At 51.2% G+C, this 19,953-nt stretch overlaps 1 protein-coding gene across 6 annotated transcripts in view; it reads left to right on the top strand.

The window, feature by feature from the left end:
- Positions 1 to 19,953, top strand: part of CDH22 (cadherin 22) — a 134,760-nt gene that overhangs the window by 108,501 nt on the left and 6,306 nt on the right. For 3 of the 6 annotated variants that reach the window (XM_024451966.2, NM_021248.3, XM_011528994.3), the window contains exons 8-10: positions 439 to 575; positions 13,051 to 13,172; positions 13,293 to 13,410. In XM_024451966.2, coding sequence (XP_024307734.1) covers positions 439 to 575; positions 13,051 to 13,172; positions 13,293 to 13,410 — 377 coding nt within the window. Of the gene's footprint in view, positions 1 to 438; positions 576 to 3,795; positions 4,298 to 13,050; positions 13,173 to 13,292; positions 13,411 to 19,953 lie in introns of those variants that run through there. The other 3 variants (XM_024451967.2, XM_047440373.1, XM_047440374.1) reach the window with 3 other exon arrangements.

The following is a 19,953-nucleotide window of genomic DNA, read 5'->3' as shown; positions in this document are numbered from 1 at the left end:
CATCTCCAAAAAATAAGTAAATAAAATAAAATAAATAAACAAAAAAGAAAAAGAAGGAAGGAAGGAAAGAGAGAGAAAGAAAGAAAGAAGAAAAGAAAAGAAAAGAAAGAAGAGAGTATCAGTGAGTCTAACTGTGCCAAGCATTTTGCCAGCTTCCAACCCTCACGACAACTGCAGGTACAAATTATTAGCTCCATTCCAACTGAGGAAACTGAGGCTCAGAAAGGTTGAGGGCTGCCCATGGTCACAGCAGCTACCCGTGCAAGTGAAATGCACACCCAGTTGCTTCCCGCTCCTCCTCGGTCGCAAGGGGTTTCTCTGCCCCTTGTGTGTGTCCAAGGCAGGCGGTCCCTCTCTTGGAGTGGGGTTGGGAGAAAAGGACATGGGCTCCATTTGGCACTGGGGCACCTTCAATCAGCCCTGCCCTGCCCCCCGCAGGTACGCCATTGACCGCGAATCAGATTTGGACCAGATCTTCGATATCGATGCGGACACAGGCGCCATCGTGACTGGCAAGGGGCTGGACCGCGAGACGGCCGGCTGGCACAACATCACAGTGCTGGCCATGGAGGCGGGTGAGCTGGGCGCCACGCCCCCTCCAAGGGCAAATATGGGGCCCAGGAGCAAAAGCTGAAGGGAGGGGCCAAGGGCTGGGGGCAGGGCCAAGGCAGCCCTGTCAGTCAAAGCCCACGGGGGAGGGGCCAAAGGTTGGGGATGGTGCGAAGAGAAAGAAACTAGACAAAGATCTCACAGCGGTGAAGGCGAGGGCAAAAGCTGATGGGTGCGAGCAAAGATCCAGCAGGGTTGCAAGTCAAGGGAGTAGGGCTGGTTCCAAGTCAAGGGGGTAGGGCTGGTCTCAAACTAGGCTTTCTTCTCTCATCATTAATTGAGCATCTGCTACGTGCAAGCCCTGTTTTAGGGGTTGGGGATCCAGCCTTGAACATGACAGAAAAGCTTCTGTCCTCATAGGGAGAACAAGACTATCAACAGAGAGAAAGCACGGACATAATATGTCAGGTGATGCTAAGTGCTAAGAAGAAACAAGGAGAGAAGGAGGCTGGGAAAGGGAACTGGGAGGAGGAGGTGCGTTGCTTCTCTTAGGGGAACATCTAAGAGATGAGGAAAAGACATTTCAACAAAGACCTCAAAAGGGGAGGGAGTCATGCTGACATCTGCAGGAAGAGCATTCCAAGCAGGGGGAACAGCCAGTGCAAAGAGGCCCTGCGGTGTAATTTGCCAAGCACGTTGGAGGAACAGCAAAGAGGCCAGTGTGGTTGATGAGGGGCAGCGTGGTCAGCCAGAGCCACTGGAGAGTCTTTGGACTTTACTCCAAATGAAGTTAGAGTCATTGGAGGCATTTGGGGAGAGGAGGGATGTTCTCCATCAGGGTACCTCTGGCAGCTGCATTGAGAAGAGCCTGGAGCCTGAGAGGGAAACGGGGCCTTAGCTAGAAGCTGAAAGCAATAGTGCTTGGGAGATAGGACCATGGCCTGGCCCAGGGCAGTAGCTACAGAGGAGGGGAGGAGGAGGTGAGAAGTGGCTGGCTTTGGGATACAGGCTGAAGATAGAGCCAGTGGAATCTGCTCATGGGCTGATGTCCCGGGGAGAGATGGAGAAGGGTCAAGGATGACTCCAGGGTGTTTGGCCTGAGTTTCTGGAAGAATATGTGTGTGTGTGTGTGTGTGTGTGTGTGTGTGTGTGTGTGTGTGTCTTTTTGGTGCAGCTAGGGAGAAATGTGAGCTGGGAGAGAAAGAGAGAGAGCCTGAGACATGGCATCCAGGTAAGTAAGGCTGTGGAGGTGAGGAGCTGAGAGCACTGGGAGAGAGGCCAGGGGGAGTGCCCTTGGGCTTCCTCCATGCCCAGAGCAACACTGCCACTGTCATGGCCTCCACCTGCTTTCCCAGCTTCTCTACCCCATCAGCCCTCAAGGTCTCAGGCATCAACAGAGCCACCAATAAGCAATCATGACAACAGGAATATGGTTGAGTCTCTGAGCTGCAGGCGGGTAGGCAACATTCAAACTCGCCTCTGCCCATCAGGATCCCAGGCCCCTCTGCCCCAGGCCCCTCCTGACCCAAGCTCCTCCTGCCAGCCCTCTTCCTCCTCCCCTAGCTGCCATCCCCCCATTTCCCAGGCCCCACTGGCCCATTCTGGGGTCAAGGAAGTCCCTAGGCTGAAGTTCCCTTCGTCTCTTTCAACTGCAGTTTAAAAGGAAATACAAAGCTGGCTCAGACCTCAGTGACTGCTGCTCTGGAGCCTTTGAATCCACTCCTCTACCGCATGAAAGGGAGATAACAAAGGTGGCTGGAGAGGAAGTGGTGGCTGGACTTGGGGGAAGAGAGCTCCCCCTCCTTGCCTCCTCAAACCTGTTCCCTGGGTAGCAACTGAGGCTCTGGGCTGTAGATGGAGTGAGGGAGGACTGGCCTGGCTGCTGGGCAGGGATGCCTCCTCTCCCTACTCACAGATACACGCCCCTCCGCCACCAGCCTATCACCGGCCCAGTGTCCCACCACCAGCAACAATCTCCTCTTGGGTTAAGCATTGTGCTTCTACCCAGTGGGTCTCTTTCAGAAAGCAGCTAGAATAGCATATGAAGCCTGTAAGGCTGCCATTTCATAGGAGACAGAATCGGGGGAGGGGTACTCCTCCACAAACATTTTACAATTTTTGCTTCATATGTATATATATATATATATATATATCCTGGCCTAGATGCTTTCCAGCACATACTTTATTGAATTATCATCAGTAGCATGATTAGCACCCATTTTCCTGATGGGAAAATTGAGGCTTGGAGAGTTTGGAAACTTGCTTGCCAAAGATGTGCACTGGCAAAGCTGGGATTTGGACCAGGCATGCTTGGTCCCCACGGCATTGCTGCATGGCCTCCCTTTTCTGGGCACTCTCTGCTGTCTGAGCCCCACCCCCATCCCATCCATCAACCCCAGTAACTGACTGTGGGGAAGGAGATGTATCTCTGAAAGGAGAAGACTAGCCACTGGGCTCGAGACCCCCCTTCTCTGAGCTGTGATCCCCAGCCCCTGCCCACTCCTCACCCAGGATATTAATTAATGGGAAAAGGAATGGTTTTGCTTCAGAGAGCTGGTGGGAGGATCAAACAGCATAGCTCATGGGAAGAACTTAGCCTAGTGGTTGGTGCTTAGTAAGTGCTCAGTTGATGGTATCTGTAGGTCTTGACTCTGTTCCGGGCCCTTTCTTGTGATGAGCTCATGAAATCTTCACCCCTAAGGGGTGTCCATTCTACTGCCATCTTCACTGTGGGGATGAGGAACCTGACTCAGCAAGGCGAAGTCATTTGTCCAGGTTCCCAACCCCAGCCTGCCTGACTCCAGAGCCCGGCTCTCCTCAGCTGCCCCTCCAGTCCTGTTTCCCTGGTGCTGGCACAAAATCAAGAGCTCTCACAGGCCAGGCACAGTGGCTCACGCCTGTAATCCCAGTACTTTGGGAGGCCAAAGGGGTCAGATCACTTGAGTTCAAGAGTTCGAGACCAGCCTGGCCAACATGGCGAAACCCCATGTCTACTAAAAATACAAAAATTAACTGGGCATGGTGGCGTGTGCATATACTCCCAGCTGCTGGGGAGGCTAAGGCACGAGAATCGCTTGAACCCAAAGGCAGAGGTTGCAATGAGCCAAGATCATGCCCCTGCGCTCCAGCCTGGGCAACAGGCAAGACTCTGTCTCAAAAAAAAAAAGCTGCCACAAATAACTGACCCACTCTTCCTTTTCACCATCTCCATGAGATGGGAACAAACTTATTATCCCCATTTTACAGATGAGGAAACAGAGGCTCAGGGAAGAACAGGGATGGCCCCAAGATCACAGAGCAAGTCCTGGCAGGGGCAGGCTTGACCCAAGACCTCCGGCTTCCCAGGAGCCAGCCAGAGCCCCAGGTGCATGGCCATCGGGTCTGCCCACCCAGCCCCATGCCCTCCTGCCAAAGCGTCCATTTGGCTTCCTCAAAAACAGAAGGGAAACTCAGAGGGTCATGGTGGCCCCACCTGCTCCTGGTCATAATAAACATGAGGTGACAAGAATCAGAGGGGAAATATTTATACACAGCGGCGGCGCTTGGTGAGCACCTCGGAGAATGTTGCACTCAGCCAGGAGCCACCGCCTGTCATACTGGATTACCTCAAAGACTCCCGAGCCACTTAGTATGCCGGCTCCCCTCTCCCCGAACTTCTGAGTCATCCATTCTGCCCATGCAGACGCTCCTTCCACTGACATTATCTTTAACGTTTTGTAATCATGAAATATTAATGACTGATATTGAATTTAAAGTACAATTTGTGTCTGAATCCTTCGGTGGAAAGGGCAGTTGTAAAGGGACAGTCTTCAAAGAGACTGGGTGGGGGGGGGGTCTAGGGGAGACTTGGAAAACCAACACTGGGAGGCGGGAGTGCCAAGGGGGGCACCCAGCCACACTCTCAAGAGTCATCCAGCCCTAAGCTGATCTGGAGGGGTAATAGCTAGATGTCCAGGACAGCAAAGGGTTAACCAGACTCGCCAGAAGCTTCCCCATCTGGGTCACCCCAGGCCAAGTCACGTCTCACAGCACCCTGCTTTTCCCTTCATGCCACAGAGCACGTGTTATGATTTTTAGATGGGTCTGTGTGAGTATTCAGTGAAGATCGCTCTTCCCTGGGAAACTGTACCTTCCATGAGGGCAGGGCCCAGTCTATACCTGCAGCACACACAGGCCAGGCACACAGTAGGCATGTGTGTTTACCGAATGGATGAATGAATGGGCTTGCATGCCCAGTTGGAAAAACAGGAATGCATGATGGAGAAGAAATGCTTCTAGTCGCATGGTTCCCAGTTGGGTGGGCCTGGACAGGTCACTCCCATCTTGTTACCTTGGTTTTGTCATCTACAAAATGGTGACAATCATACTTAGTTTACCAGATAGCTGTGACAATGGTAACTATTAATAATAGCAGCTCCTGGCTGGGCACGGTGGTTCACGCCTGTAATCCTAGCACTTTGGGAGGCCGAGGCAGGCGGATCACCTGAGGTCAGGAGTTCAAGAGCAGCCTGGCCAACATGGTGAAACCCCATCTCTACTAAAAGTACGAAAATTAGCCGGGTGTGGTGGTGGGCACCTGTAATTCCAACTACTTGGGAGGCTGAGGCAGGAGAATTGCTTGAACCCAGGAGGTGGAGGTTGCAGTGGGCCGAGATTGCACCACTGCACTCCAGCCTGGGAGACAGACCGAGACTCCATCTCAAAAAATAATTAATAATAATAGCAGCTTCTATTTACTTAAAGCTTACAATATGCCAGGCATTGTGCTGAGTGCTTTCTATAAAACATAAATCCCCCAAGGATTAGAAATAATGTGCCTCAAGTGCCTAGCGCAGGTGCCTACTGTGTGCCTGACACACAGTAGGTGCTCTTAATAGTCAGGGAGAGAATCTGAGAGGAGAGGGAATGTCAGAGATGATGGGCTCCAGCCCTATACCCATCCTCCAGCCCCATACCCAACCTGGGGAGACAGACGCCAAGGAAGGGAGTTCCCCCATGAGGCTTTCTGACTCCCAGTCTATGCCTCTCAGAAGGACCATAGAGGAGGCCTAAGGAGGCTGGAGAAAGGGACAGGGATGAGGAGTGAAGGTCACAGTGGGGTCTGAGCAGCAGAGAGTGCTCAGTTTCTCCTGCAGGGACCCACACACACACCAACAAGCCATGTACCCGCAGCCAGTGTTTTCTGGGGCCTCTTGTCACCCACCCCAGCCAGGGCTGGGCTCTGAGACCCAGTGATGAACGAGGCTTGGCCACTGACCTGAGAGTTCACGGGTGGGCGGGGAGAGACCCATTGACAGTCAGTGACAACACACAGTGAAAGTCATGGGGTCGCGGCGATTCCTGAGGAGCAGGGAGAGACTGGCCTACCCAGCGAGGGCCAGAAAACCCTTCCCAGAGGAGGGGACATCTATTTTTTTGTTTTTGTGTGTGTGGTTTTTGTTTGTTTGTTTGTTTTTGGTAAAGAGGGGGCTCTCACTCTGTTACCCAGGCTTGTGTCCAACTCCTGGGCTCAAGCAATCCTCCCACCTTGGCCTCCCAAAGCACTGGGATTACAGGCATGAGCACCAGCACCTGGCCAAGAGGACATCTGAGTTGGGTTTCAAAGGCCAAGGAAGTTTTTCCATGGGCAGAAAGGGGATTCAGGTGTTCCAGGCAGAAAGGGGATTCAGGTGTTCCCAGCAGAAAGCCCCCTGTGTGCAAAGGCCTGGGAGCTTGGATGTCTGAGGCCATTCTGAGAACAGAGAGGCTGGGTGTGGCCAGGCTCTGGAGCTGAAGGGTGTCCAGAGCAGGTGAGGCAAGGGGTGAGTGAAGAAGCTCACTGGGCCTGTACAGAAAGGGCCTTGGTGTCCCATGAGGAACCAGACATCTCCTGGAGGTGACAGGGAGCCAGCACAGGTCTTTGAGCAGAAGAGTGGCGTGATCAGATGTTTGGTCCCCAGTGTTCCCTCGGGTTCATGGGGAGGATGGCTTGGAGGGGGCAAACATGGAGTCGGGGGAACATATGGGAGGCTGTCAGGCTCAGCTTTGGGCTGGAGGGTCCAGGGCAGGACCAGGGCAGGTGGTTGGGAGCTCCAGGGAGGCTGCCCGGGAAAGAGACATGTCACAGCTCTGCATGGAAGGGGCTGCTTCAAGAGACAGTGAGCTCCCTGTCACCAGAGGTGTGCAAATCAGGCCCAGGGTCCTCTTGGACTGGATGACTCCTGGGATCCTGTGCCACCTTGAGTCCCTAACGGACCCCAAGGGGAACAAAGATTTTGTGATATACATGGAGTAGGACAGCCCAGAACATTAGGGACCAGCTCAGCCACTGGGGAAGGAAAGTTCCCACATCTCCCCTTTGAATTTCAGGGATGTTATGATTTCAGGGTCCCTGCTTCACCCAGAAGTCCTCCCCCACCCCTTCCTTGGAGGAATAAACGTCCCCCCAATAAGGTCAAAGCTTCCAGTCTCCATGTGGAAACCAAATAGATCACTGAAGTCCCTTCAAGGGACAGAGAAGGGCACCTGAGCCTCCTGCTCCCACTGGGGGGGGGCATGGGGACAGGGCAGGGAGTGCAAGGAGTTCGCTTCTGTCTACCCTGACACCCCCTTCCCTGGAGCACCCCCATCTGCTCGTCCCGTGCGCCTCACTGTCCTGCCTGCTTGTCTTGGCGGGCTTGTAATTGGGATGATAAATCTTCCTGCCCAGCTGGCCAGCTCTAATCAGAGCCTGGTGTTTGGATGCAATTTAACTCCCTCGGGGAGGAGGGAGGGGCTGGGGGGATAGTGGAGAAGAGGGTCCAAGCTCTGCTCTATCCCTGCCACTGCAAGTGAGAGGGAAGGCACTTTCTTTGAGCTGACCTCTCTCCTCTCTCTCTCTCCCCCTCCCACTCCACCCCCCACTCTCCTTCCCACTCCCACTCTTGCAGCTTCACTTCTCTCTTTCTCTCCAGGCTTCTGTCTTTCTCTGTGACAGCCAAGGAGAGCCACAGAATCCAACTCCATTTGTTTTACTGATGAGAAAACCTTGGTCAAGAGACAGAGAAAGAGAGAGGCAGGAAGAGGGTCCCAGCACTAGACTGTTTCTGAAATGGAGGGGACCCAATCCCTGATACAACAGAGTCAGTTCATCCAAGAAGGTCTCAGTTTCTCCCCCTGCACCTCCCCAGCATCCCTCCTGGAGCGTGGCCATGGTCAGAAATGCCACAGACAGTGGAATCCATTCATTTGACACATCTTTATTAAGCATCTACTATGTAGTGTGCACACAGTTGCTGGGGATACAGCAGTAAAGAAAATATACAAAAATTCTGCTTACATACTAGGGGAGGAGATAGAGGATGAGAAAGTTAAATAAAAACAGAGGGTGCTGGGTAAATGCTACAAAGAGGAATAAGGCAGGGAAGTGGCATTTGGTAGGATGGCAAAGGGCACATGGAAATAAGGTCTTTAGGGGAGGCCTCTCCTAGAAGAAATCTGGGCCAAGACCTGAAGGAGGTAAAGGAGCAAACTTGGAGCAGAGTGAAAGAAGGAGGGAGGGGTAGCAACGAGGCCAGAGAGACCACAGCAGGATGATCATGGGGGGCCTTGTGGGCATGGGGGACTTGGGCTTATCCTTGGATTGCCCAGAACTGAGAGCAATCAAGGAAAGCTTCCTGGAGGAAGCAGGGAAATTTGTTCAGGGCCTTGAAGGCAAGATGGATTCTGACAGCTAAAGACAAGAAAGGCAACATCATGTGGTGGTTAAAAACTCCCCTTTAAAACCAGACCCAGGTTCGAGTCCCAGCTCCTATGAGACTTTGGGCAAGTTTTCTCACCCCTCTGAGCCCGTTTCCTCATCAGTAAAACAGCAACAACAGCACTCCCTGCCTCCCACCGTGGTTGACAGGACGAAATGGGGCAGCCCAGACCCTGGTCCTTGGCATGTACTTAATGTGTGTTTGTTGCCATTCTTCCAGGGAGGAGCACATTCATAGGAGCGCCCTAACAGGGGCACCAGGCCAGGCCCCGTCTCCTCTTGCCTTCCCATTGGCCCCCATCCCCATCCCCACGCCCACTCAGGTTGGTCCAGATGTCAAATGAGTAACTCTAGTAGGGGCTGGGATCCTCCTTGGAAGAGATCCAGAGTCTCATTATCCACATCCTCCCCTCCCACCCCAGGGCCTTTGCACGTGCTGATCCCACTGCCTGAGACAGTCTTTCCTTTCCCATCCCCCTCATACAATTACTTCCCAGTCAGGACTCAGCAGGACTCAGCAGAAATATCATGTTTTTCCAGGAAAAACATCCTGCATCCCACCAGGCAAGACCCCCTGCTCCAAGCTCTCACAGCTCCTTAACTTTTTTCCCTCAGCTCTTATCACAGTCTGGAGTAATGTCTGTACCTGCCACTAGAACGAGACCATGCTGTCTTGTTCACTGCTGAGTCCTTGGTACAAAGGAGATGCTTGATCCACAACTGTCAGCAAAAACCACAGGTTTCAGTTCCAGATTGTCCAGTCCAATCCCCTGTCCATTATACAGAAGAAACTCTGAGGCCCAGTGAAGGTGAGAGACCTGCCCCACTGCACAGCAGTTCTCCTGCCCCGAGTTTGGTCTCTACCCTAGGCACCCTGAGCTGCCCAGCCTCCTCAGGTCCCTCAGACCCCCGGGGCTTCACCTGCCACCCCCCCGGATTAATGGTGAGGCAGTTCAAGGAGGAAGCACCGGGCCAAAGCACGTTTAATTTTAATTTAGGAATCGGTTAAGGCTGCAGGCCTGCTCAGCCCCGGGCTGTCAATCAGCCTTCCTCAAGGCTGCATCAATTAGTTTAAAAATATTGAATGTAATTTTGCCTGACACAACATATTGCAGCTACTGCAAAATATAATTTATTTTAGAAGAAGAAATAATTAAACTAATTTGCATGTCAGTCAGCTGAACTGAAAAGCCAAGAGGGGAGGGCTGTGGGGCACCCAGTCCTTGGAGGGGGCACCTGCAGCCGGCCATTGGGTGAGATCCACTTGGGCCTGGGTCTAAGCCATAGCTGCCACTGAATGGACAAATGACCAGGCAGCAGGAGGGCCCCTGACATTGTATCAGGACCAAGCGCTGAACTTGGAGTCAGGAGGGTTCGGACCCAACCCCAGCTCTGCTGCTGACTCCGCTAGGGCTGTGGGGAAACTCCTGCCCCTCCGTGGGCCTCAGTTTCCTCATCCAGAAAGTGGGTTTAACAAGGCCTTCTTCAAGGGTTATTTCAAGGATGACACGAGGTCATAATAAGAGAGAGTGTTATGAATTGGAAAATCCTGCACAGAGATCAAGATTAATCAACAGATGGATTCCTTGTTTTATCCCAGAAACATTTAAGGTGGCAAAATACGATTATTTTCCATTCTTATAAATGATACTAATTGTGATAGGAGGGGTTTGGAGGAAGCCAATCAGGCTGGATTCCCCCCGCCTCCCAGTCACCCTAGCATAGTGGTTTGCAAACCTTGCTACAGGCTGATCCTCTGGAGCTGTTTAAAAAAAAAAAAAAAATCACTGACCAAGCTTTGGGCATCGGTGTTTTTAAAGGCTCTCCAGGTGATTGTGATGTACAGCTGTGCTGGAGACCCACTGCCACAAGGGCAATGGCAGTGGCAATGGGTACTGACCTGGGGCCAGCCAATGAGCTCTGGGATTCCATGCCAGCCCTAAATTCAGGAATTCCTAGAATAAGATATGCAGATGGCAATTTAGGGGTCACTCAGCTGCCCCACCTCTTAGGTCTGAGACTCTCACTCATGCCAAGGACATTAGGGCTTTCTCACAAGGTGACCTGTGACATTTTAAAAGAAGAGGTAAGAGAGGCCGAGCATAGCCCAAAGCAAAGGTGCTATAATGGGGGTCTCATCTGCAGTGAGCATCCAGGAGCGGATCACTCACTCAGCAGTCCATCCTGCTGTACCTTCGACATGGCCCATAGGACCCTGTCTCTCCCTCCAGCCCACACACCCCCACCACCCTCCACTGCAGGGGAAAGGGCCCTGTAAGGGCACTCAGGCCCTGGCCGCCCCCTCTACTCTCCCTCTGCCTCTGCTGGGAAAGAGGCGCCTGTTCCTGGCTGTGGGCCTCACCCCCCTCTTCCCAAAAGCACCGACCGTCTGTCTGTTGAAATTCTCCGGCAACGCACTCTTAAAAATAACGGTTCACCCGGCATTCCCAGTCACGACTCCCATCTCTCGCCCTGGAAAAGCCCCCTCTAATCACTGGAGTGGCAGATCTGGTGAGCTTAGAAGATAATGTGCCCCTGGCTAAGGGGAACTCCAGAGAGAAGCTGGGGTCTGAATTAATTAAGAACTCAGCCCCCTCCTTTTCCTGACCGCCGCCCGCCCCCCCAGGAGGTGGCTGCACCTGCCTTCCTATCTCTGTTTCTCTCTTTATCAACACGTGAGCAGCTGCCGTCAGCACACAGTGGATCCTGAGTTTACAGCAGGAGGCAGCCGACCAGTCCCACTCCCCGTGAAACTCTTGGGGAGCCTGGATGCCTGGAAGCTTTCAGGCTGCCCCTCAGAGAGCTCCCTGCCAGCCCAGCCAGAGAGCCCCATCTTCTAAGTCACTGCTTGGAAGTGAGGTGTGGTTTCCTCCTCCAGGAGATGTTCCTGAGGTCACTGGCAGGTGGAACATGTCAGTAATGAACATGTAGCCAAGATAGCAGAGGATGGAGCACCAGTGAGCACTCAGAGGTCTGGGCTGGTGAGGGGTTAGAAAGCACCAACATTCAGGGCACTGCTTAGAGAGGACAGGCTGGGATGAAGTATTCCACATCCTAGAATTATTTAATGTTATTGCTAATAGGACCCTTCGAGAATGTCTGGTTATTTACAAATGCTTATATAGCACTTGCTACGTGTTGTACACACAGTTTCAAATGCCCTGCAGATATTAACTCAATCTGTCTCTTCACCGACCTATTAACCCATTTATGCCTGAGGTTGCAATTTTTTGAATTTTTGCAATCAGACCTTGGCGAAGTCCTTGAGCAGTAGGATATAAATAACTCTCACATGCTTAGCGTTCCAATAATGGAACGCTAGGCATAATTGGGTCAATATTAGACCGATTTTGCAGGTGAGAAAATTGAGGCACAGGGAGGTCAAATGACCTGGCTTGGATTATACAGACATAAAACAGCAGAGCTGGAATCAGAACTACCCAGCACTGCTCATAATCACTATGCTCTGTTCATTTTCCAGGTGTGGAAACTGACATCAGAGAAGGCAGGGTCTTACCCAAGACCAAACACTGGGTCAGGGACACAGCCACGCCTGGAATTCAAGCCTCCTGCAGTCTCAATTTTTCCAGGCTTCATTCATTCATTCAGCAAATATTAATATATTAGAATTTACATGTACCATATCCCACAATGCTGGTAGCCCAGAGATAAATAAGACAGGGACCATGATCTTAAAGACGTCCCAACTTGGAGAGGTGGGGACATCATGGTTTTGCTGGCGAAGATCTACCTCCTTGGACTTGTCTGGCCCTTTTAGGATCAGGTCTTGAGAAAGCAGAAGTCTTGGAGTTTAGTTGCCCCGACCCATGTCTAGAAAGCATCCCACGTTTTAGTTTCTCCTTTGCAATATGGGGATAGAAATTGTACCAAACCACAGGATTTCTGCAAGGATACTTAAAATAATGAATGTAGATGCTCCACGTGCATGCTGTGTGCTCTGTGGTGAGGGGGTGGGGATGGCAGTGGTGATGACAGTGTTGTTGGGGGCCAGGGATGTGATGGTAATATTGGTGATTATGATGGGGGTAATAGTAGTAATAGGTGGGCTGGTGATTGTGGTTGTGGTGACTATGGAAGAGATGGTGGTGGTATTGGTGATGGTGATATTGGTGATGGTGATGGGGTTGGTGGTGGTGGTGAGGGTAGTGATGGTGATGGCTTTAGTATTATTTATGGTAGAGATGATGGGTGTAGTACTAGAGGATGTGGTTCTGGTGGTGGTGGTGCTAATTCTAATGGTGATGGTAGTGATGGTGATGACCTGATGGTGATGGTGGTGATGGCAGTGGTGATGGTAACAGTATAAGGATGGTGATGGTGGTACTCATAGTTATGTTGATAGACGCACTGATGATAATGCAAATAGTGGTATTGGTAATGGCTTAATGATGACAGTGGTAATAGTAATAGTGGTAGTGATGGCAAAGGTGGCCATGGTGGAGATGGGATGGTGATGGTGGTGTTGATGCTGACAGTGGTGATGGTGTTGGTGATGGCAGTGGGTGCTACTGGTGATTGTGGTGGCAAGCGTTGTAGTGATAATGCCAATGGTGCCAAGGTTGATGGTAATGGTGGTGGTGATTACAGTGATGATTACTTAACTTATGCCCAAATGTTCCCAGTTCTGGTCCTTGTACCAGCTTGGTTAACCCACAAATTTCTCAGCATGACCCCACTGCCTACTATTGTCCTCATAGTAGAGAGGAGGCTATCTAGATCTCCCACTTGATGCCTCTCCCCTTGCTCCTGTGCTCTCATTACAGACAATCATGCACAGCTATCCCGGGCATCCCTAAGGATCCGAATCCTGGATGTGAACGACAATCCCCCAGAACTGGCCACACCCTACGAGGCAGCTGTATGCGAGGATGCCAAGCCAGGCCAGGTACCCCTGAGGGGGTGGGGACTGGGCGTTGCTTCCAGGACTGGCCAGCAGCATCCTCTACCTCGACCCAGAGTGGTCTCAGCCTCACCACTAGCCCTCTATCCCCTCCTCACCCTTCAGCTCATCCAGACCATCAGCGTGGTGGACAGAGACGAGCCCCAAGGCGGGCACCGCTTCTATTTCCGCCTGGTGCCTGAAGCTCCCAGCAACCCTCATTTCTCTCTGCTTGACATCCAAGGTGAGCCTCCAAACCCTAGGATGCAAGAAGGGAGGGGCACAGTCTCCCTGCCCTGTTCCCATATTATAGACAGAGGGACGGAGGCGCCCACAGGGCCTATGTTGGATCTAAGATCACATGGAAAGTCTGGGCCAAGCTGGAGCTGTTACCCAGCCCACTGGCCAAACACAAGCAGGGTGTGGGTTGGTGGAGTGGAGGAGGGCGTCCCAAGGATAAGAAATGGCAGATGGGAAGATATAGACAGGGAATAAATGAGGAATGATTGTGCCAGAGTCCAGGGTGGAAAGAGCCCCCGTTCTGAGTGGAGACTGAAGTAAGCCACGTGCACACACTCCCCACCCTGCAGGTTTCTGGCTTTTTATTTGATTTTTTTTTTTTTTTTTTTGAGACAGGGTCTCGCTCTGTCAGCCAGGCTGGAGTGCAGTGGCTCGTTGCAACCTCCACCTCCCAGACACAAGCAATCCTCCTACCTCAGCCTCCCAAGTAGCTCGGAGCATAGATGTGTGCCACCATGCCCAGCTACTTTTCGTATTTTTTGTAGAGACGGGATTTTTGCCGTATTGCCCAGACTAGTCTTGAACTCCCAGGCTCAAGCTATCGGCCTGCCTCGGCCTCCCAAAGTGCTGGGATTATAGGCATGAGCCACTGTGCCCAGCCCACCCTGCAGTTTAAAAACTGCTTTATTCCACTCACATTCCTTTTTTGGTTTTTGGAATTGTTCTTGAAACAAGGTCTTGCTCTGTCACCCAGGCAGCAGTGCAGTGGTGCAATCATAGCTCACTACAGCCTTGATCTCCTAGGCTCAAGCAGTCCTGCGTCAGCCTCCTGAGTAGCTGGCACTACAGATGCACACCATCAGATCTGGCTAATTGTTTTATTTTTTGTAGAAATGGGGTCTTGCTGTGTTGCCCAGGCTGGTATCGAGCTCCTGGGCTCAAACAATCCTCCTACCTCGGCCTCCCAAAGAGCTGAGATTATAGGCATGAGACACCACGCCAGGCCCACTCACATTTCTTTCTGCAACCTCACAGCCATCCTGTGAGGTAGTTTTCTGACTCCTCTCCCCATTTTACAGGTGATGAAACTGAGACTCTAAGAGAGAAAGAGTCCTGCCCAGGGTCATATAGGGAGTCAGTGGTGTGGGTAGGATTCAACCCAACCCCATCCCAAGTCCAGTGTGCTTCCTGCCTCAGCACACCACCTGGAAAGCAAACTGCCCTGCCCTGCCTGAGTCCACTGTGAGATTCCTCCCCTCTGGCTCTCACAAGTTTCTCATGATGTTGATGTTTGAACCTTTAAGGAATAGACTGAGGGAAGGGGGCAGTCACCAGACTGGAAATAAGGGACCAGGCTCAGCGAAGGGTGCTCTATACCACCCTGGCAAGCTCCTGTTCCTCTCTGGTTTTTTTGTGTTTGTTGTTGTTTGTGTGTGTGTGTGTGTGTGTGTGTGTGTGTGTATGCGTGTGGGGTTTTTTTGTTGTTTTTTGTTTGTTTGTTTGTTTGAGACAGCATCTCATTCTGTTGCCCAGGCTGGAGTGCAGTGGTGCGATCTCAGCTCACTGCAACCTCTGCCTCCCAGGGTCAAGAGATTCTCTTGCCTCAGCCTTCAGAGTAGCTGGGGTTACAGGCACGCACCACCACGCCAGGCTAATTTTTGTATTTTTAGTAGAGACGAGGTTTCGCCATGTTGGCCAGGCTGGTCTCGAACTCCTGACCTCAGGTGATCTGCCCGCCTCGGCCTACCAAAGTGCTGGGGCGCCTGTTCCTCTCTAAGCCTCAGTTTCATCATCTAAAATGGGAGTAACACCTACTGCCTCGGGTGGCTAGGTAGCCCCAGTAAGATAAGGGCCACCAAGATATAGTGTTAATACCTAGAAATGTCAATTCCTACATCCAGCAATTATTTAGTGAGTGTTTATTGAGACACAAAGCCTCTGTGTCGGGGTCTGCTCCGGGTCCTGGAAATGCAACAGCAAACACAACAAAACCTAGTTTATATTCTAGTGAGGTGAGACAGAAATGACACAAATAAAAAAGTATGTTGGGGATGATAAGTGGCTGGGGTGGAGGAATAATGCAATCTCCACAAGGGTCTGGACTTGACTTTGTTCAACCCTAGGTGCCTGGAGCAGTGCTTGGCATATCGTAGGTGTTTGATAAAATGTGTTCAATGAAACAGTGAAAAATAAAGCAGGGCACAGTGGCTCAGCCCTGTAATCTCAACACTTTGGGAGGCTGAAGTGGGCGGATTAGTTGAGGTCAGAAGTTCGAGACCAGCCTGGCCAACATGGTGAAACTCAGTCTCTACTAAAAATACAAAAATTAGTCCAGCAGGGTGGCGCATGCCTGTAATCCCAGCTACTCCAGAGGCTGAGGCAGGAGAATTGCTTGAACCCAGGAGGCGGAGGTTGCAGTGAGGTGAGATCTCACCATTGCCCTCCAGCCCGGGCAACAAGAGCGAAACTCCATCTAAAAAAAAAAAAAGAGAGAGAGAAAGCAGGGTAAGAGGAGAAGCTATCTTCTTAAATAGGGTGGCCTGGGAAGGACTCTCCAAGGGTATCCATAGTGAGAAGGGACCTAAAGGATATGAGAGAAAACGACCACCCCAGTGGAAGAAATAGCAAGTGCAAAGGCCCTGTGGTGAGCAGGACTGGGGTGGATTAGGAATGGAGGAGACCTGTGTGATTAGAGTGAGTAAGAGACAGGACTGGGAGGAGATGTGGTCAGCGAGGGGGCCAGATCATGTGGGTTCCTTCTGGCCTTGGAACAGGTCTGGGATCCTTCTCAAGGCCTTTACACACTCACACCCAATGCGGAGCCTTAGTGGCCTCTGAAGCCAGACCCATCTGTACCCCTGGGAGTCCTGTTAAAAATATGTAAGGCTCATGTTTATAACTCCAGCACAAGGCAGGAGGATCCCTTGAGGCAAGGAGTTTGAGAATAGCCTGGACAACACAGTGAAAACCCATCTCTTTAAAAATAATAATAATAATTAGCTGGGCATGGTGGCGCACACCTGTAGTCCCAGCTACTCAGGAAGCTGAGGCAGGAGAATCACTTGAGCCTAGGAGTTTGAGGCTCCATTGAGCCACGATCGCACCACTGCACTCCAGCCTGGAAGACAGAGTGAGACCTTGTCTCAGTCAATCAATAATTAAAAATAAATAATGAAAAATAATAAACAGATTTAACAACCAGTGCAGCTCAGATGGCCAATCAGAAAGGACGCTGACCAAAACCTGGAGCAGGACCCTGGAAACTTTACTACACCAGGCATTAACTCCTTCGTGGCTTGATTGTGTCAAAGTTGGGAGGCTGCCTGGGGAAAAGGCTGAGGCAGCAGGGAGAGATTTGGGGGGCTTAGTGTCAACAGCTATTTAAGCCTTTTTTGGAAGTATTTCAATATTTTAACAACCAGTACAGCCCTGCCTATTCATTAGTCCAGTAGTATCCTGAGCAGGTCACAGGAAACACAGCTAGCCTTGGCTCAACTCTGCCAAGTTCACCAGGCTTTCCAACCCAAGGGGCCCGAGATTCTGCCTCAGTTGCTTTTGTTTAGCTGGGGGAGAGGGGGGGGCACCAGAGCTGCCATCCAGAGTGCCACCTGGTGTAAGCTCCGGGGACAGGGTGGCAGCAGCACGCTGAGGTCACAGCAGCCGTGGAAGGCCTCCTCCTCCTCCAGTCCCTCAGCCCCTTCCCACTACTTGCCAAGCCCCCTCCTCCTCACTGTATAAATATCCTAGGTGACAAACGGCTACCCCAACCCATCTGTTTCTTTGTACAAATGTGTAGCCAGTTTGGAAACGTGATTTATAAATATTGCCTTTGCAGCCAGGGATTGACACTGATGTATGTCAGGCCAGATGGATGGATGCAGCGCTGGGCACAGATCCCACCTAGAAGGGTGGGGTAGGGGACCGGGGTGGCCAGAGGCTTCCCCAACTGAAGCCAGCTGCTGCCCAGGAGGGCAGCTTGATGCATTCAGGGTTGATGCCTGGGGATTCCCCTTCATGGGGTGGAGGAGTGGTGGGGACCAGAGTTCCCAGAACATATGGTCCCATGGCCCAAGACAGCAACCCTGAGAGACAAACATCCCTCTTCTTGCTTGGCAATCTGAAGCTGAGCCGGAGCCAGCCGCTCATTTCTCAAATCTGCCTACTTCTCTGTGCCTCCACTACTACTATTATCTCACACCTAAAACACACGAGAGCTTCCTGGCTGTTCTTCCACATCGACTCCTGCATTTTAGATGATAAGCTGCCTCAACTAGAACACAGGCCCAGCAAGGACAGGGACCGCATCCATTCTGTCCATTGCAGTATCCCCCGGGGCTAGAATAGTCCTGACAGAGAGATGATGCTCAATTCCTACTTGCTGTTGAATGAATGGGTTTGTCACTAGGTCACTTCTTTGCTTAAAGCCCACCAATCAATGGCCTCCTGTTGCTTTTAAGAAAATTATCCAAATTCTGGCCAGTAGTGGTGGCTCATGCCTGTAATCATGGCACTTTGGGAGGCTGAGGCAGGCACATCAGTTGAGGCCAGGAGTTTGAGACCAGCCTGGCCAACATCATGAAACCCCGTCTCTACTAAAAAGTACAAAAATTAGCCAGGCGTGGTGGCAGACGCCTGTAATCCCAGCTCCTTAGGAGGCTGAGGCAGGAGAATTGCTTGAACCCAGGAGACGGAGGTTGTAGTGAGCCAAGATTGCACCACTGCACTCCAATTTGGGTGACAGAGCAAGATTCTGTGAAAGGAAGAAAGGAAGAAAGAAAGGAAAGAGAAAGAGAGAGAAAAGAAAGAAAGAAAGAAAGAAAGAAAGAAAGAAAGAAAGAAGGAAGGAAGGAAGGAAGGAAGGAAGGAAGGAAGGAAAAAAAGAAAGAAAAGAAAAGAAAAGAAAGAGGGAAAGGAAAGGAAAAAGAAAAGAGAGAAAGGAGGGAGGGAGGAAGAAGGAAGGAAGGGAGGGAGGGAGGGAGGGAAGGAAGGAAGGGAAGGAAGGGAAGGAAGGGAAAATGACCCAAATTCCTTACCACAGCCTCCCAGGCTTTCCACAATGACCGCCTGCCTCCTCCTCCAGCCTCGTCTTGACTCATTGTAGCTATTACCCTCATTCCTCCAGCCACAAAGGACTGAGTGTCCTCTGAGTGTCCCGGGTCCCTGAGTGTGTTATGCTTCTTCCAACCTCAGGACCTTTGCATACGCTGTTCCCTCTCCCTAAACTCACTGTTCAGGCTCAGGAATCATATCACTTCTTCCAAGAAGCTCTCCCCGACCTCCTAGACTGGCTCAGGTGCTCTGTTATGTGCTCTTCCTATATTCTTCCTTCACAGCACTCACCATGGTTTGTAATTGTAGACTAAATTGTGGGTTTATTTGATTAGCATTGTTTCTTACATGAAAATATGAGCTCTGATCCAGGACCAGCAGCGAGCTGGTGTAGCTCTCTATTGTTTTCTCATGGCGACTAGCATGGTGCCTAGCACATAGTAGTTAATAAAGATTTGTTGGATGGAGGCCAGTCATGGTGGCTTATGCCTGTAATGCCACCACTTTGGGAGGCTGAGGCAGGAGGAGCCCCAGGAGTTCGAGACCAGCCTAGACAATACAATGAGACCTCATCTGTACACACACACACACACACACACACACACACACACACACAAAACAAACTTTAAAAATTAAAAAAAATTAGCTGAGCATGGTGGTGCATACCTGTAGTCCTAGGTACTCAGGAAGCTAAGGTGGGAGGATTGCTTGAGCCTGGGAGACCGAGGTCACAGTGAGCTGAGGTCACACCACTGCACTCCAGCCTGGGTGACAGAGTGAGACCTTGTCTCAAGAAAAAAAAAGATTTGTTGGATGGTTGGAAGGAAGGAAGAATGCTTTCACTGGAAAAATTCAGACAAGTCACTTGTCTCTGAGCCACAATTTCCATATATACAAAATGGGAATAATGCCACAACTCTTAACAGGTTATGAGGATTAAACATTACTATGTATTTAAAATATGCAGAGAGTCCTTGATGCATAAAAAAAATCCATTCAGTACAAATGGGTCCCATGCCATTCCCTCTTTCTCCCATCTTGCCCTCCAGCCCCCTTTCTTCCCCTGCAGAAGGCAGATTTTTCCCAGCTGGGGTTGACGCATCCTTTGGGGGGAGAGCTAGAGTTCAAGCCTGAATGTAGCCAGTTTGAACTGTCGAACTTGACTCAACCTTGCCAAGTTCACAAGGCTTTCCAACCCAAGGGGCCTGAGATTCTGCCTTAATTGCTTCTGTTTGGCTGAGGTGGCCACCAGAGCTGCCATCCAGTGTGACCACCCCATGTAAGCTCCGGGGACAGGGTGGCAGCAGTGACCTGAGGGGCTGACCCAAGACCACCAGTTCTCCCAAAAGCTGTGGTTCATTCAAGGATTGCTCTTCAAGACTGGCTCCATGCCAGCCCTGGCTGGCCATGCAGTGGAGAAACAGGCACACACTAACTTAACACAACGTGACAAGTGCTGTAACAGAACTGTGCATGGCACCTGCGTAGTCAGAGCAGG

This window comes from Homo sapiens, chromosome 20 (assembly GCF_000001405.40).
Source record: "Homo sapiens chromosome 20, GRCh38.p14 Primary Assembly".
NCBI classification, from domain to species: Eukaryota; Metazoa; Chordata; class Mammalia; order Primates; family Hominidae; genus Homo; species Homo sapiens.
Note: the sequence above shows the minus strand (reverse complement) of the source record. Positions and strands in the feature narration are given on the sequence as shown.